This window comes from Homo sapiens, chromosome 3 (assembly GCF_000001405.40).
Source record: "Homo sapiens chromosome 3, GRCh38.p14 Primary Assembly".
NCBI classification, from domain to species: Eukaryota; Metazoa; Chordata; class Mammalia; order Primates; family Hominidae; genus Homo; species Homo sapiens.
Window position 1 is genome coordinate 8994799 of NC_000003.12, and position 19316 is coordinate 9014114.

Genomic DNA, 19316 nt, shown 5'->3' on the forward strand with positions numbered 1-19316 from the left:
TTTAATGCTCATTAAGACAATATTGTAGAATTTTCGTTTTCTTCCACCCCTTAACACAAGTTCTATTAATATTTCTATTTTTCTATGCACCCTTTTCCTCTTTGTCATTTATAATACTTTTAGTAATTTTTAATCTTTTGAGAGGCCACATCATGTATGCAGACTCTAATCTGCAAAATCCGATACAGGATTTTAAGGGTACCCAGACCCTTCAAAGCTCATTGTTAAGGACTGAACTGTGTCTGCCTCAAATCTATATGTTGAAGCCCTCACCCACAACGTGACTGTATTTTAGAGGCTTTAATTAATGTAAATGAGGTGATTAAAGTTAAATGAGGTCATAATGGTGGGGTCATAATCCTAGTGCTGGTGTCTTTATAAGAGGAGCAGAGGCTGGGCGTGGTAGCTTATGCCTATAAGCCCAACACTTCGGGAGGCTGAGGCAGGAGGATCGCTTGAGTCCAGGAGTTTGAGACCAGCCTGGGCAATATAGTGAGACCTCATTTCCAAAAAAAAATTTTTTTTTAATTAGCTGGGCGTGGTAGCACGTGCCTGTGGTGCCAGCTACTCTAGGGCCCGAGGCAGGAAGATCACTTGAGCCTGGGAGGTTGAGGCTGCAGTGAGCCATGATCATGCCACTGTACTCCAGCTTGGGTGACAGAGCAAGACCCTGTCTCAAAACAAACAAACAAAAGTTCTTGTACAAAAGGGCATAGCTTAGTACAGATACTCATGAGGTATTCGGTTGACAGCAGCTGTCATGACTGTGATTATAATTATTAATGGATTTGGCCTATGGGATGCGTCCAGAGAAGAGACGTTGAACTGCAGAGAGTTTAAGTGTTTTAAACTGCATGGTTTAAGGACCATACAACTAGTGATATTTGGGGAAGAGACGTTTTGGGGAGCAGGGGATTGTGCCTACAGTTTATTCCACCTGTTTTATAGTTTCTACCCTAAGAAGTGTCCATATGTGGTAGAAAACTGATTTTGTATAGGTATTAATGTTTTAATATTTTAAAGTAAGCACAAAGAGGTTTAACATTATAATTCTTACTTTTTTTTATTTTAATAGAACAGAAGAGTAACAAAAGCAACCCCTGCCCTCTCTCTAGCCTGTAGATAGCTTCTCCATGCTGAGCTTTCTTGGGGCTCTCTATCTGCTCCATTCACTGTGGACAATCTCGTCTTCATCGATCTATTCATCCACCTGTCCATCACACAGTTAAGCTCAGAACATTTGGCTTTACCATTTTTTAGTTGTGTGACCTTGGGATACTTAGTTTTTCTTTCTGTGCCTCAGTTTCCTCATCTGTTAAATGGAAATGGTAATAAATAGAACCTATCTTACAGGGTTATTAGAAGGATTAAGTGAGTGAATATACATGAAGTGCTTGCAACAGTGTCTGGCACATAGTACCCTATAAGAGTTACACACATGTTGTTACCAGAGGCTGGTGCACTTCTAAGGGCCACGGATGGCATGGAAAAATCAAAGAGCAGGAGGAGGAAACTCCCTTGTTCACTCCCCATCACTCCCCACCACACACATGCACCAGGGCTCCCCTCTGGAAGCAACTGGCTCAAGAAGACCATGCTTGTGTCCCCATGAGATGCAGTGGCTTTGGGATGTATTTAGCTCTTAGTGACTGAGGCAGCCTTCTGCAGGGAGCAGGCCTCAAACAGTCAAGTCAGCTTCCCCAGCTAGCTACCCGACAAATGTCTTTAAATGCTATTCTAACCTGGGTGTTGGGAGAGAAGGAAGGAGGGAAGGAGGTGGGGAAATGACAGCACCACTAAATGGGTCAGACTAACTCAGATCTTGACTCAGAGTCACATTCTCAGTAAAACAAACAGAGATCTTGGTCCCTCTCTCTGCAGCATCTTTGAATCTCACATCCGGCCGTGTGCTGGAACTGCCTGCTAGCCCATCTGCCTGCCTCGTTACAAGAGTCAGAAAGGCCGGAGGGTTTGCAAGGGCAGGAGCTGAGCCCAGACAGCTGCGTGCTCCTGGGTTCGCCCAGGGACTTCCTCTGACCCAGATTCCCCAAACTAAGAAAGGCGCTGACCTAAGCAGAGGTTTTCTGATACTCAGAGGGGCACAGAGGGGCTGCCTCCGGTTTCTGCCTTTACCATCACCAGAGCCTCCAGCAGTCACTGGACAGCAGCCTGAAGTTGAAAGAGTGGGGCAGCAGGGGGAGCAGACAATGTGAGGGAAAGAAAACAGGAGGAACAGGGCGAACCTCCAGCTCAGAGAAAGCACGTGTGTTTGCAGACGTCGTTACATAAGTGTGTGTGGTGGAAACAGTAATAACAGCTCCCATTGATTACTAAGTCTGTTATTTGGGCTTCTCGTGCCTGAAACAGAATATGTTTCTCCCCCTCATCACTCTCCCACACTCTGTTACCCAAGCTTACTTCATTCCCTCATCTTCCCCATCTCAGGAAACAGAACTGCTGTCTACCTGCTCACCCAGGCCAATGCCCTGGCATGGCTCTGCACACCTCATCCATTAGCGACTCCTTCAGAGTGTCCCCTGGATCTGACCATGGCTCACCACCTCCCATGCCACCCTCTTCACTTCCATACTTGCTTAGGTAGAGCCGCTTCTCCCCACAGCAGCCTAGAGGGTCCTTTACAATCATACAATCACATCATGAAACTCCCCTGTTCAAAATCCTCAGAAGGCTTCCCATGGAGGCTGGAACAAAATCCCAGTGTCTTCCCACTGCTCATAAGGCCCTCCAGGATCCCAATCGCAGAGACCTCTGAGACCTCATCTTCTCTGTCTCTCTCTCTCCTTCACTAGCTCAATCTGCTCTTGCCTCACTAAGCTTCTTGATGTTTTTCCTCCAACATCCTAGTATGACATTTTTTAAACACAAAGTAAAATTGAAAGAATTTCACAGTGAACATGCATGGAACACAACTAAATTCCGCTATGCACATTTTACGATGCTAGATTTATCATATATCTATCCACCCTTCTATCCGTCTTATTTTTTAATGATTTTTAAATTAAGTTATAAACATCAGTATACTTTATCTCTAAACACTTCAGCATAAATATTCATAGAGGTTTTTTTTTTTCTTTTTCTTGAGACAGGGTCTCACTCTGTCACCCAGGCTGGAGTGCAGTGGTGCAATCATGACTCACTGCAACTTGAACCTCCTGAGGATCAAGCAATTCTTCCACCTCAGCCTCCTGAGTAGCTGGGACCACAGGCACATGCCGCCATGCCCAGCTAATTTTTTAAGTTTTTGTAGCAACGGGGGTCTCACTACAGCCTGGGGGACCAGGCTGGTCTCGAACTTCTGGACTCGAGTGATCCTCCTGCCTTGGCCTCCCAAAGTGCTGGGATTACAGGCGTGAGCCACCACCCCCAGCTACAGAGCCTTCTTGATGCTTTTAAAACAGACAAGTGTCTTCCCTTTACAGGGCCTTTGTACTTCCTATTGCTTCTCCCTGGGATGCCTTTCTCCCAGATCTTTGCATTCATCCACACTCAACAAATATGTATTAATGCTATGTGCCGTTTGCTAATTTCATTCAGGTCTGTACTCAAATGTCATTGCCTTACCAAGGCCTTTCCCAGCCGCTCCCAACTGCAAGAGCCCCAACTGCCAAATCACTTTCTAACACCTTCTCTTGCTTTATTTCTCTTCATGGCACTTATCACAACCTGAAATTTATGTGTGTGTGTATGATGTGTGTATTTATGTGTTTGTGGTATGGGTGTGTGTGTATATATATACTATATATATGTATATATACACACACATATACATACACATATGTGTATATATACACACATATAATTTTGAAACTTTACTATCAATCTTTCCTACCAAAGTGTGGGTACCATTAGGACAGAGATTTTCTTTTCTTTCCTACTGTATTCTGACTCCTAGAACAGACCCTAGGACAAACAGGCACTCAATACATATTTATTGCTTGCATGAACAAATTAAGCTTTTACTGGTACCAGGTGTTCTACTTACATTATCACATTTAATCCCATAACAACATTTGAGGCACTACCCTCATTTCATAGATGAGGGAACTGAAGCTGGGTTGAATGATGGGCCTAGGGTTGGGTCACACCAGTAGATACAGTGATGAGCTAACATCTGAGCTCAGGTCCCAGACATCATTAATAGAGGCTTCTAGATGTTTTTGAATTGTGCTAAGCTTATTCCTGCCACAAGGTCTTTGCATCTGTACAGTGTAAATTGACTATATAGATATACAATGCTCTGTGTTTGATGCAATTCAACTCCTGTGTATTGAGAGGCTAATTGTACCAGGTAAAAACCCTGTGGGCTCTACAGTGAGGGAAGAGATGAACAGCCCAGCCCCTGAGCTACAGGAGAGGTTGAGACTGTCTCAGTAGGGGCCTGGCTGGAGTCACATTTTAGGAAAATCACTCCAGTGGCAAAGCAGAGCAGTGGAGGGATTGGAGGGGAGAGGCTGGAGGCAGCAGTGGTTCAGAGACGGCTACACTGGTGCGGCCTCTGAACTAGCATGGGCTAGACATGGGCTTTTCCGGAGATGAAAAGACATGTTGAAGCTTTGCTTTTATTTCAGAATCTGAAGGTTGGACATTTATGCTTCTCTACCCATCAAATCCCTCCCTCTAGCCATGCCATTCCAGAGAACTCTGTTATAGGTCATGAGTCCTGCCTGCATGAAAGAGGGGATGGCTCCATTCCTCTCAATACCACTTATGTCCCTCTGCCTACCCCACCCCCTACTTCATCCCCAGAAGTGAGAACACTAATCTCATGCAACCAGTTTACTAGAGGCCAAGTCACTGTATCAAAGGCTGAGAATGTGGGTGTACCTTCTCTTCTCCGTCATCTTCCCTGTGATGAGAGTAATGACAGAAGCCAGGGCCTGTTTACAGGGTCCCTCTTTTCTCCCCTTCTCACTCATGACCTTGGGTTCTTTCTTTGCATTCGGTGGTGGCACCAGCTGATATTGAGATTTAGATTTAATTTAAAAGGAAAGGAGTGAGACCGACTTCTGGGATGACAGCATGAAGAGCTCCCCAGGGAAACTCGAGAAAAAATATAAAAAGAAAAAGAAAAAGAAATATTTCAAGCCCCTGGAAATGGTCCTAAGGGCAAAAAGCAAATGAAGAAACATCTATTCAAGAAAATCTATAAAAATTTAGTGAGAAAGGTGAAAATCTCTGTTACTTGAACCAAGACTGCTCCCTCCCTCTACTCCTGCTCCAAGCTTGGGGAGATGGAGGCTCCAACCCAGATGACTGCAGTCAAGCACACAGGGCTTCCTCTCCCTTTACCATCTTCTAGTCACAGGGCTTTCTTCCTGGAAGGAGCAGGAGCTCAGTGATTCTCATCCTGCTCCCACTACCTGTTGCTGAGGCTAAGTCCCAGGTGAGTGGAGTGGAGAGACCAGGGCTTCATTCTTTCACACAACCCCTACTCATGGAATGGTGGCTGTACTTTGGGCATGGCACCACTGAAAATGTGGGGGTTCTATCAACCTTGCCCCAGCTTGTGAGGTGGTGGTTGCATGGCAGGAGAGGGAAGTTAAGAGGATCTCTGGCTGCCCCTCCACAAAGCACTCAGTGGGGACATCACTCAGAAGATGCCATTGTCTCCATCCCCAGTCTCAGAGTCCTGGCTCAGAGATTTTCCCATGGGGGAGAACCATCCCGTAAAACAGACAGATCCTAATCTTATCCCAAAGGAATTGACTTCAGTTGCAACAGAGCTTGGAGAAGTTCAAGTCGAAGGGGACTCTCAAGAACAGTGGAGGTCGTGTTGAAGGGCAATCCAGTGATGGTTCATGAATTTAACGAATATAGAAGCTAGACTATAACCCAGATAGTTAGCAGAGGAGAACCAGGGAATAAGACAGCCAGGAGAACTCCTGGGATCAGAACAAATATCAAACATTGACTTCAGAAACTATCCCTATAATGGGGACAGAATTTGACTGCATTAATCTGTAGAGCAATTTAGGACCAAGGGCACTGCTGAAAGAATAGCAATCATCCAGCAATTAGTAGAGATTAACAGCCGGAAAGGATCCGGGAAAGAGACTTCTACCAAACCCACTGGCATCTCAGGGAAGGAGAACCCTACCAAAACCACTGTCATCCCACAGAGCAGTATTTCCATATGTCACTGAAATTAAGCTAGTATAAATAGAAGCTCATTCAAATAAGATGTATATGGTAAACCTTAGAGAAACTGCTAAAAAATAACTCAAAAATAGTAAGAGCAGAATACTGCTTGTCAGAGGCTAGGAAGGAAGGGGAGGGGATATGGGGAGCAATTGCTCAACAGGTACAATGTTAGAGTTAGTTAGGATAAATAAGTTCTGGTGTTCTATTTTACAGTAGGTTGACTATAGTTAACAATAATGTATTGTATGTTCCAAAATAGCTGGAATAGAGGAGATGTTGAATGTTCACACCACAAAGAAACAATATATTTACAACATGATGAATATACTGCTTACCCGGATCTAATCATTACACAACGTATGCATGTATTGCAATATCACATTGTATCCAATAAATATGTCCAATTATCTGTCCATCAAAAATTAAATAAAACTTCTAAAAATAACTCAAAAATATAGTGAAAACATCATTAAAGAAGTTTAAATGCTATATTAGAAAATATCCACTAAATGCTATGTTAGAAAATATGCAAAAGAAATCGGTAAAGAAGGAATAGAGGAACAAAAAAGATATGAGACACACAGAAAACAAGAAGTAAAATGGCAGACAAAAATCCAACTATATAAGTGGTAATATCAAATGTGAATGGATTAAACAATCCAATTAAAATGCAGAGATTAACAGACTGGATAAAATAAAATAATTTAAAAGACACACTTTAGATTCAAAGATACAATTAGAGTGAAAGTGAAAGGATGGAAAAATGTATTATACAAACTGGAACCACAGGAAAGCTAGAATGACTATACTAATATCGATAAAATAGACTTTAAAACTAAAAATACTGCTAGAGATAAATGGCAGCATTTCATAATGATAAAAATTTTGATCTATCAAGATAAAAACAATTATAAACAAAATGTACCTAATAAAAGAGCAGCAAAATACATGAAGCAAAAATGGACAAAAACAAAGAAAGAAATAGAAAATTCAAAAATAATTGTTAGAGACTTCAATACCCCATTCTCAATAACGGAAAGAACAACTAGACAGAAGATCAAAGAGGAAATAGAAGACTTAAACAACACTATAAACCAACTAGACCTAACAGGCATGTATAGAACACACCACTCAGCAAGAGACTATACATTCTTTCTAACTGCACATGGAACGTTCTCTTGGGTATGCCCTATGCTAGTCCATAAAACAAACCTCAATAATTCAAAATCATACAAATAATACAAAATGTGTTCTTCTACCACAGTAGGATAAAATTATTGATTTCTTCTATAGAAGAAGTTTCTTCTAAAGTAGGAATCAATAGCAGGAAAAAAACTGGGAAACTGACAAATAGGCAAAAATTATACAGCATACTGCTAAATAACTAGTGGTTGAAGAAAAAAATCAAAAGAGAAATCTTTGAGATGAATGAAAATGAAGATACAACATATCAAAACTTATGGGATGCAGCTAAAGCAGTGCTTAGAAGGAAATGTATGACTGTAAATGCCTATATTAGGGAAAAAAACCCAAACCTCAAATCAATAACCTAAACTTCCACCTTAAGACACTGGAAAAAAAAGTGCAAACTAAACCTAGAGCTAGCAGAAGGAAGGAAATAATAAAGATTAGAGCAGAAATTAATAAAATAGAGAACAGAAAAACAATAGAGAAAATCATGAAACCAAAAGCTGGTTCTTTGAAAAGATCAATGAAATTGACAAGCCATTAGCTAAATAAACCAAGAAAACATGAGAGAGGATTCAAATGATTAGAATCAGATATGAAAGAGGGGACGTTACTACCATTATTTTACAGGAGAAAAAGGATCATAAAGAAGTACTATGAACAATTATATGCCAACAAGTTGGATATCTTAGATGAAATTAATAAATTCCTAGAAAGAAACAAACTATTGAAACTGACTTAAGAAGAAAAAAAAATGAATACACTTATAACAAGAGATTGAATCAATCATCAAAAAACTACCCACAAATAAATGCCCAGGCCCAGATGGCTACATTGTTGAATTCTACCAAACATTTAAAAAAGAATTAGTAATAATTCCTTATAAAGTCTTCCAAAAACTAGAAGAGAAGGGAACACTGCTCAACTAATTTCACCAGGCAAGTATTACCCTGATACCAAAACCAGACAAAGGTATCACAAGAAAACTACAGACCAGTATTTCTTATGAATATGGATACAAATATCCTCTACAAAATGCCAGCAAACCCGGCCAGGCACGGTGGCTCATGCCTGTAATCTCAGCACTTTGGGAGGCAGAGCTGGGCGGATAACTTGAGGTCAGGAGTTTGAGATCAGCCTGCAATATGGCAAAATCCTGTCTCTACTGAAAATACAAAAAATTAGCCTGGTATGGTATCGGGCACCTGTAATATCAGTTACTCTGGAGGCTGAGGCAGGAGAATCACTTGAACCCAGGAGGCAGAGGTTGCAGTGAGCCAAGATTGTGCCACTGCACTACAGCCTGGGTGACAGAGTGAGATTCCATCTCAAAACAAACAAACAAACAAACAAACAAAAAAATCACTAGCGAGCCAAATGCAGTAGCATAAAAAGAACTATCCTCCATGCACAAGTGGAATTTATCCCAGGACTGCCAAATTGGTTTAACATCTAAAAATAATTAATGTAATGCATCTTATCAGTAAAATAAAAAACAAAAATCACACAATCATCTTAATAGATGAAGAAAAAGCACTGACAAAATCTAATATCCTTTCAAGATAAAACACTCAACAAACTAGGAATAGAAGGGAACTTCCTCAACCTGACAAATGGCATCTATGAAAAACCCACAGCTAACATCATACGTAACAGTGAAATACTGGATGCTTTCCCCATAAGATCAGGACTTAGACAAGGATGTTCACTCTCATCACTTCAGTGTTGTACTGGAGATTCTAGCTGGGCCAATTGGGCAAGAAAAAGAAATAAAAGGTATCCAAACTGGAAAAGAAGTAAAAATATATCTATTCATAGACAATATAATCTTATATATTAAAAAAATAAGGAAATCACTAAAAACTATTTGACTGCATGAATAAGTTCAGCAAGGTTGCAGGATACAAGAGCAGTATAGTAAAATCAATTATATTTCCATACACTCATAATGAACAATTCAAAAGTGAAATTAAGGAAACAATTTCACTTACATTAGCATAAAAAGAATAAAATACAGAGGAATAAAGCACTGACAAAATCTAATATCCTTTCAAGACAAAAGGATAAAAGGCACTCTGTAGTTGCCACTCTGGCAACTACAAATCATTGTTGAAAAAAATTAAAGATCTAAATAATTGGCAAAACATCCTGTGTTTATGGATCAGAAGACTTAACACTACTAAGAGGGTGATATTTCCAACTGACCTATAGATTTAATGCAATCCCTATCAGAATCCTGCCTAACTTCTTTGTAGAAATTGACAAGCTGATTCTAAAATTCATATGTAATCACAAGAAACCCAGAATAGCCAAAACAATCTTGAAAACGAAGGACAAAGTTGGAGGACTTAAACATCCCAATTTCAAAGCTTACTACAAAGCAACAGTAATGAAGACAGTATAGTACCAACACAGAGATAGACATATTGGTCAGTGGAATAGCATTGCAAGTTCAAAAATAAACCCATACACCTGTAGTCAAAGGACTTTTTTTAACAAGGGTGCTAAGACCATTCAATGTGGAAAAGAATAATTTTGTTCAACTAATCGTGCTGGGACAACTGGAGAGCCACATACAAAGGAATAAAGTTTGACCATTACCTTATGCCAAAATTAACTCAAAATAGATCAAAGATCTAAATGTAAGACCTAAAACTCTAAAACTCTTAAAAGAAAATACAGGAATACATCCTCATGAACTTGGATTCGGCAAAGGCCTCTTAGATATAACACCAAAAGCATGCGCAACAAAAGAAAAAATAGATGAATGGAACTCAGTCAAAATGAAATACTTTTGTGCTTCAAAGGGTATCACCAATAAAAAGGCAAGCCACAGAATGGGAGAAAATATTTGGAAATTGTATATCTGATAAGGGACTTAGATCTAGAATATATAAAGAGCTGTTATGATCTAGAATACATAAAGAGCTGTTACAACTCAATAATAAAAACACAAATAACCAAATTTAAAAATGGGCAAAGGATCTGAAGAAAAATATACAAGTGACCAAAAAGCACATGAAAAGATGATGAACATTATCAGTCATCAGAGAAATTCAAATCCAAACCTCAATAAGATGCAACTTCACATCCACTAGGATGGCAAGAATCAAAAAGTCAGATAGTAACAAGTGCTAGCAAGGATATGGATAAATTGGAATCCTCATACACTGATGATGATATTGCAAAATGGTGCGGTCATTTTGGAAAACAGTCTGGCAGTTCCTTAAATGACTGACATAGAGTTAGCATATGACCCAGCAATTCCACTCCTGGGTATATACTCAAGAGAAATGAAAAATTCTGTCTATACAAAAACTTGCACACACATGTTTGCAGCAGTATTATATCATAGCTGAAAAGTAGAAACAACCCAAATGTCCATCAATTGACAAATGGATAAACAAAGTCTGGCATTTTCATGTGATGGAATATTATTCAGCCATCAAAAATTAAGTACTAATTCATGCTACAGCATGGCTGAACCTAGAAAACTGTGCTAAGAGAAAGGCCACATGTTATATAATTCCATTTATATAAAATGTCCAGAATAGACAAATCCATAGAGACAGTGGGTAGACTTACAGTTGCATTGACTAGGGCTGGGAGAAATGTGGGGGGTAGGGATGGGAGGGCGTAAGGAGTGATAGCTAAAGGGTACAGGGCTTCTTTTCAAGATGATGAAAATGTTCTCAAATTGACCATGGTGATGGTTGCACATATCTGTGAATACACAAAAAAATCACTCAGCTGAACACTTTAAAAGGGTAAATTGTGTGGTGTGTGATCTATAACTCAATAAAGTGGTTTTAAGAAGAAGGCAGGGTCCTTCGTAGGTATAAGGCCTGAGCCAAATGCCGCAAGCCAGTTTACCATGTTTATTACTAGGGATTAGGAGCATACACCAAGTATAAGAAATTGGCCACTGTTCTTTTTTTCTATTGTTCTTAATTTCTTATGAAAAGGAGTGGGCTGGGCGTGGTGTCTCACACCTGTAATCCCAGCACTTTGGGAGGCTGAGGCAAGCAGATCACGAGGTCAGGAGATTGAGACCTGCCTGGCCAACATGGTGAAACCCCGTCTCTACTAAAAAATACAAAAATTAGCCGGGCATGGTGGTACATGCCTCTAATCCCAGCTACTCCGGAGGCTGAGGCAGGAGAATCGCTTGAACCAGGGAGTCGGAGGCTGCAGTGAGCCGAGATCACACCACTTTACTACAGCCTGGCAACAGAGCGAGACTCTGTCTCAAAAAAAAAAAAAAAAGAAAAGAAAAGGAGTGGCTATGACTCCACAACTGGGGTGTTTGTGCATAAATCAACTAATGTCATTTTAATACCATCAAAAACCTCACCTTAATACACAACGACATGGATGAATCTCAGAATATTATGCAGAGTGAAAGAGGACAGAGCCAAACAACTGTATTCTGTACAATACCATTTATATGAAATTGTAAACAGACCAACAGGGGGAGGAGTCAAAGGTAACCTCAAAAATTTCAGGAAAATATCAGTAAGAGAATGGTGGCACAATTATAATTGAAAATGGACATATCACCCATATGAACATGCCTCTGTCACTGATTTTAGTGGTTTTATAATCTAATAATCTTGTTTCTCATTTAGCTTCCAATTAATAAAGTTGTTAGTGACAGGCTGCCTTCATTTTTTCATTTAGTCAAGGATCCTTGGCCTAACCATGGTTTCTTTATATAACTCTTGGAGACCAAAGAGCAAGCACTATGGAATTTCCAGACTTATCAGACTCAAGACAGGAGACTAGGCATCAGTTGGGTATAGAATCTTTTTTTTTTTTTTTTTTTTTTTTGAGACAGGACCTTGTTCTGTCACTCAGGCTGGAGTACAGTGGCACAATCATGGCTCACTGCAGCCTCAACCTCCCTGGGCTTAAGTAATTCTCCCACTTCAGCCTCCTGAGTTGCTGGGACCACAGGCATATGCCACCATGCCTGGCTAATTTTTGTATTTTGGTTTTTTTTGTAGAGACGGAGTTTCACCATGTTGCCCAGGCTGGTCTCGAATTCCTGGGCTCAAGTGATCTGCCCACCTCAACTTCCCAAAGTGTTGGGGTTACAGGTGTGAGCCACCACGCCCAGTTGGTACAGAATCTTTGAGACAAGAAAGGCAACAGATACACAAACAACTAAATTGTTCCTGCAATTTGGCATTCATTGGCTGATTCATGCATGGCAAAGACCTGGACTCATGGTTCTCTGCCTGATTTGACCTTTGAGGCCTGCTGGATTCCATTCATACCGGGTGCTGTCAAGAGCAAAGAAGACAGATATTGATGATCCCCTAAATGAAATGTCTAAGAGGAAACAGGTAAACAAATCAGGAGGTTCTGGTTGCCAATGACCAGTAACTGCCAATGCCAGTTAGGTCAAGAAAATTCTCCAGGACTCAGTTTTTCTATCAGGATTAGGAAGGATGTCTGTTTGATACAGAGTCCATTGATGTTTCTTATCCACCTCCCTGTCCCAGGCACTGTGCTAGGCTCCTTCACATATGTCACCTCATTTTAACCCATGCCATAATTTGCTTGGTGCTGTCATTCCCATTTTATAGATAAGGAAATAGAGGCCAGAGGTGATGTGGCTTGCCTCAGATTACATGACCATAAGGACTCCCTCTGTGCTTCAACTCCAGGTCTCTTTTTTCTGAGCACAGTGACCCCTTGACTGTCTCTGCAGCTCACTATTCTGCCACTGTTTGGCCAGGGATGGCAAGAATGTAACATTTAGAAAATGCAATTGATTTTCCACCAAAGAGTGCCCCTGATTCAATACCCCCCACTAATACACACAGGATACTTTGAGAGCCTTCAGGGAACATGAAACTGGCTCTCCCAGACTGTGGCTTCTTCCTTCCCAGAATGATTTTTCCTGCCTTTGTCATTCCCAGAAACCAGCAGCCTTACAAAGAACAAAAAGAAGAAGGATCATCTCGGAGGGGGACCCAAAGCTCTGACTCATGCATTCTGGGGGCCACTGTGAACCTTTACCCTGAGAAGTGGGAGGCAGCACTTTCTGGGGGGTGGTTCTTATGGGGAGGAAGCCCCACTGGGTGAGTCCCATGGCTGCTTCTTCGCTGACCCAGCAAGCCCTATTCTCTCTGTCCCTCCTCATCTTCAGTCCTGGTGTCCAGAGAAGCCTTCTGCCCATCAGCCCGAGGAGCTGTGGAAAAACCAGCAAAGGGACTGACAGGGACCTCAGCCCCCAGGAAGGCAGGTGCTTCGGTCAAGACAAAGGAGAGGAAATGACAGGAGTAGGAGAGAGAGAGAGAGAGAGAGCAAGCTACAGGGAGAGATAAAGAGATGGACAGAAGGAGATCCAGAAATAAAAAGAGCAACAGATGGAGAGGACAGGGTGAGGGCTGTTAAAAGGGATAGAGGGAGGGGAGAACTGGAGGTGGTCGGCAGAAGAAAAAAAGGAGGAAAGAGAAAAGCAAATCACCAGGAATAAGCAGAAGGTGGCGGCCTTCACATCTCCAAACAAAGCCTCTGCAGGACACATTCCTCAGTTCAGGATGACTTTAGCCTCTCAGGAGTCTGATCAAGCTGAACGTGACATCTGGATTTGCTTTTCTGTTCCTGTGACCCGGGTCTGACCCATTAGCTCCCTCTCAGGCCATGGGGACTGGATCATGACTGGGTGCATGACTCAAGGCAGTCCAATGAGACTCCACCCCAGGACCTCTCTTGGAACCATTATAGAAAGGAAGCCCTTTTCCACTGAGAGTTTGGGTAAGATGATGGTGAAAGCCTGGAATTGCCAGAGACCACTGCACCGGAAGATCCTACACGAGAATGAAACCAGCACAGAGGGAAGCAGAACAAGAAGACAGAGACAAAGTGCTGACAAAAATCACCCTTGCTCCTGGATCCAGCTGTGCCTGAAGCCATCCCAACCCTGGGACTTTTCAGGTATAGGAACTTACTCTCTCTTAAGCTTAAGTTGATTTGAGTTGGGGGTTCTGTCATTAGCAACTGAAATAGTCCTACTAGAATGTGAAAACCCATCTGTCAGTCTTGTCTCTTTTACCAGTTCCCAGAACTGTCACCTGAATGCCTGCCCTGCTCTCCTGACAAATGTGGTGGCCAACGTGTCCTGGTCCCACAAAAGAAACACAAAGGACAAGTAAGAGAACTGCTAAGCCATGATGTTTAAAAAGGAAAACTATCCCAGGTGCTTGGTGCATCCTGGGCCGTATTCTAACTTTCAAGGGTCCTAGGCCCTTTTGCCTGCATGGGTCCCTTCCTCCATTCAAAAAAAAAGTTAAAAATTATATTTTACAACTGCATTAGTATAAAGACAAATATAATCCAGACTGGATATTGTGTTCATTTTTTTTCTGATTTTAAAAGAAATTAAAACATTTTAGTGGACCTCTACAAGTACCATGGGCCCTTGGCACTATGCCTACTCTGCCTGACGGATAAGTTGGCATATGGTTCAGATTGCTTGTCTACACAGTCCAGTTTCCCTAGAGACTAGTCCGACTCTCTTCTCCTTGTCTGGAAGGGGTGGAGGAATCTGGAGAAAGGTCTTGACTGGCCTTTCTCTCTCTCTCTCTCACCACACATTTCCCAGGATCATCACCCTTTGATTTCATCTCCAGGGTGCCCAATGCACCAGACACACCTGTAATCTGGCATTATCGCTTTGCACCATGAGAAGCTACTTCCAACCTGTCAAGATCTGGTGACAGACTGGGAGTTCCTCAAGGACCGACGTCTTGTTCATCCCTGTGCCCAAGTCCCAGCACAGGCTTGGCACAGAGCAGACCCTCAAAGGGGAAGGATGGAGGAACAGAGCTTGCTTTCTACTTAGGGAACTCATGTCTCTTAGGATTTGTACCTGGGCCAGGCAGGACACATTAAGGAATGAAGTGGGCTAGGTGTGGGGTGTCGTGAACACAGCGTGAGCCTATGAGGATCTGCTCTGTGTCAGGCCCATGCCAGGACTTGGGGCATGCCATGAAGGTTTTTCGGGGTCTTCGTCTATTCTGAAGGACAGATGGCTGACTTGGAAAGCTGAAGAGGTCTATGTGGGCCAGCCCTGTGGTTGGGCTGACAAAAGTCAGTGTGAGAGGCCCCAGGAAGAATCCCTTGTCCCCAGGATCCCCCTCACTCACCTTCATCGCTGGTATGAGGCTCAGTGCCATTGTCATGGTCAACTTCATCGATGGCCCCTGGCTCGCTGTGTGGGCTGTCACTGCAAGGAAACACGGGAATGGGACTCACTGCGGGGGGTTATCTACCCTCACAGCACCTTCAGCCTCTCATGCCAGTCCAGTTGGCCTCTGGGCCCTCCCGCAGCTCAGATGCAGGCCTATACCATCCTATCTTTTCCATGTGACCACTCCGGGGACCTTCCTAATCAGAAAACTACTCCCAGCCTCCTCCTTGCGAAGCTTCCCAAATATCTCCCCCAGTGCCCTCCTAGCCCTGGAATTTGCTGAGCTGTCTTCTTGGTGAAGTCTGTCAATGCTTACGTGTTCTGTAAGATCCAGAGGGCAGTGGTAAAACCCCAGCATTTATAATCAGAAGGACCACAGGCCAGAACAAAAAGAACCCTTTGAAGTACCATGAGTTATTTCATCTGGCCTGACTCTCTTGTCTTATAGCTGAGGTGACATATCCCAGGAGGTAAGATGAAGCTAACAAGGGCTGCCCTGTCTTTCTGCATGCAAAAGCCCCGACTGATGCAGGCACTGAGAGTAGACTGGCAACCATGATGGGCATAGTGGCTGAGTAATCCAGTCCATCAGATTTAATTGTTAATGTGCTGGTATAATTTCACCAGCTACTACCCCCTCACTAGATTATAAGCTTCTTGAGGCAAGGGTTAATTCACATAATCAGCCAGTTTTTTTTTTATAGAGCCATTGAGTGAGTTCTAATATGCCAGGCAGTGTGCTGGTAGGAGGGATGCAATGATAGATAAGGCGGACAAGGTTCCTGGCTTCATGTTGCTTACATTGTAGGGAGAGGGACAAGAAAAAAAACCGAAGTAAATAGGCCATTAAATAAGACAGTTGCAAGTTATGTTATGTAGTGTTATGCAGGAAATAAATGGGCAGAGACAAGAAGAGCAGAGGGGACCTATAAAGAGTGGACAGAGAAGGCTTCTCAAAGGAGTTGACATTTGCAATGCCATTTAAAGGAATATGCATTTTATTACGAAAAATTCTCCACTGTCACCTGAATCAGGACCAAACTCAATGGCTTCCAAGATTTTTCACAGCCTGGCTCTACCCAACCTGTGGAGCCTCATCCTTCACCATTCCCCTGTCACACATGCTATGCTCTGACCACACTGAACTGCTTTTCATTCTACTGAATGCTCCAGGTCTTCCCACTCCTCACTGGGTTGGCTCCTGTTCATTCTGCAGTCTCAGCTCAGTCTGCACTTCCCCCAGGAAGCCCTTCCTGATTTCCCTAGATCGGCTCAGGGAGCCCCACTTCTGGAGCCATTTGTTTCCTGTTCCATCAGAGCTCCTGCACCAGGGGTCAACCTTGTTTGGTTACATCTCTGACTCCCAGCACAGAATCCAGCCCACAACAGATGATTGGTAACCATTTGTTGAATGAATGAATGTTGTCTACTGTGCTGAGACCCTCAGCCAAGTCTCCTTTTTTGGTTTTGAAGACTCCAAAATTACCATGTAATTAATAGTTTTACAGTCTCGTGGGAAACAAATAGGATTAAGAAAAGTGTGGTTATTGTATATTGTTCTTTGATAAGTACACGAAGATCTGTGGGTCCCTTCCCAGAACACTAATTACATATATTGCAGCAAGAAAAGAGAACTGGTAATGGTTGCAAAAACTGTGTGAAAATTCTCTTTGTCCAGAAATTATGCTTGCCAGCTGTTTAATGTTTCTGTTACAGAACAGGGATGGACTTGCTCCCTAGTGCCTCAAACGAGATTAGAGAGCTGTGATCAGACACCACTATGACCCAGTATTTCTATGCAGGGAGGCATGTGGGAAGGAAACACAAAGGCTGGAACACCTTCCTTCTTTGAAGCAGCTGCCCAAATATGCTCACAGTACTAAGGCAATTCAAAAGTCCAGGAATGCTTTGACAATCAAAAAACAAACTCCCCTGTAGGCACCTGGCTGAAGGCAGTGTGGGTAATACCTAAATATATAGCTGTGTGCTCTCCTGAATTGGAAATAAAGAAATAGTAGAAATGCTTTGGTCTCTGTCATTGAGTGTCCTGAATTTCCTGTCTTCACCACATTTAAAGATTTTTTTCCTGTCTTCACATTTTAAGGTCTTAGCCTGGGGAAGCTTTTAAAGCCCTGACTTTGAAAAGGTTCTAAAATCTTTCTCCTAAGACCTAGTGTAGTACCAGGTATACCAGGCACACAGAGGTCCCAAACTAGTGATTGTTGACATGGTGTTGGACACGCAAAGAAACTGAGCTCACTTTGTCTGGAAAAGAGAACTCCTAGGTGAGAGGAGACAAGGGTAGGAAGTGTCACAGTCAGTTCATGAAGTTGAGGTGGGGACTAGTCACTCCCCTGCTTCCTGAGATGGGCTTGTGACTCACATGGCCAGTTAAAGCATTGCATCTCCTTACCAAGGTGATTACTTCACCAGGCCCAAACCTCAGCAATGAAACACAATTCTTGAGCTTGTGTTGGAACATTTGGGAAGGAAAGGGTCTTTTTCTATTGAAGATGCTAAGAGAGTGAGTTACAGATCTTGAGTTGCTGGTTGCCTGCTTGCGACCACCAAGGAAATGGCTATCCAAGAATGAAGCCAACACAGAATCAAGCAGGGCCAAGGAATGGAGACTGCAGGACCAAGTCCTTGTGGTAATAGTTGAGCCCCTGGATCAAGCTATACCTGAAGATATATCCCCAGACTTTTTACTTAAGTAAATCAATAAAGTCCCATTTGGTTAAAGGCCATTTGAGTTGTATGTCTGTCCCTTGTAACCAAGAGAATCCTAACTGATGTACCTATCTCTCATGTGAAGCTGCTGTGAAGCTCAGATGAGAAAATGTATATGGAAGCACCGACTATCAAGCAGTAAGAAAACTGAAGGGTTTCTTATTGTTCCTATTCAATGGCAATAACAATGACGATGATAATAATATTAAGAGGAATGGCATCTTACCAATATTCTTCCCCTCCAGCCATGCATTTTTCATACACAGGTCCCTCTAGCTCCCGGGGGCTGGGGAAGATGGCTTCATGATGGATGATGATGGTTTTGATGACTTCATTGATGTGTGCCTGGCAGGACACAGGGTCCTGCCCATCAGGGATGTGCATGAGGGTAGGCCCGAAGCAGATGGCCAGGTTGTAGGGATCCATCATGTTCTCGTCGCTATACTGGGAGAGGCTAGGAGAGAGGAGTTACCCACAAGTCATCTGGGAAAGGCAAGTCCTCCCCCTGTGTTTTTTTTCTTTTGGGGGACCCTATTCAAATCCAGGAGGGTTCCATGTTCTCCTTTAAAAACAGCATCTGCAAAAGCCTCAAGATACCCCCTCCCAAAAGAGGCCAGGCCTGAGTCAAAAAGGGGCCCCTTGGCCAGACACTCACTGGTTGAGGAAAGCGAAGAGGTATCTCATGACCACAATGACCACGCGGGGAAGGGTGACGAGGATTTGTTGGATCTGGTGCACCCTCTCGGCTGGGTTCTCCAGTTCTGTAACATAAAGGGGCCTTTCAGCGTGCCTTTCATCCTCAGAGAGCAAAGCAACAAACATTCGCTCGCCACATCTCCTATATCAACCCACGTGGATGGGGGAGCCAGCTCTACTCTTGATTCCAGGGATCACAGGTGATCCTGGCCTGGCCAATCAGAGCATCCATCTCCCTAGCTACAGGGAGGGGCTGGAGGTGTGGCCTAATCAAGAACCAATCAGAGTCGACTCTCCGGACTTGGTTGTGAGAAACCCACAGGGAGATGCCCTCTTG

General features: G+C 42.8%; 1 protein-coding gene across 15 annotated transcripts in view, besides 1 other annotated feature; it reads right to left on the reverse strand.

Moving 5' to 3' along the window:
- SRGAP3 (SLIT-ROBO Rho GTPase activating protein 3) overlaps nucleotides 1-19316 on the reverse strand; it is a 382437-nt gene that overhangs the window by 14208 nt on the left and 348913 nt on the right. For all 15 annotated transcript variants that reach the window (XM_024453843.2, XM_047449335.1, XM_047449333.1 and 12 more), the window contains 3 exons: nucleotides 18939-19044; nucleotides 18510-18737; nucleotides 15510-15589 (listed from right to left, as the gene is read on the reverse strand). In XM_024453843.2, coding sequence (XP_024309611.1) covers nucleotides 15510-15589; nucleotides 18510-18737; nucleotides 18939-19044 — 414 coding nt within the window. The remainder of the gene's footprint in view (nucleotides 1-15509; nucleotides 15590-18509; nucleotides 18738-18938; nucleotides 19045-19316) is intronic.
- Nucleotides 1971-2470: an enhancer, noted in NCBI's record as "H3K4me1 hESC enhancer chr3:9038453-9038952 (GRCh37/hg19 assembly coordinates)". NCBI's record gives its function as "activates a minimal SCP1, AML or CMV promoter by ChIP-STARR-seq in primed H9 embryonic stem cells {active_cell/tissue: H9 hESC(primed)}" and the evidence as "EXISTENCE:reporter gene assay evidence [ECO:0000049][PMID:30033119]".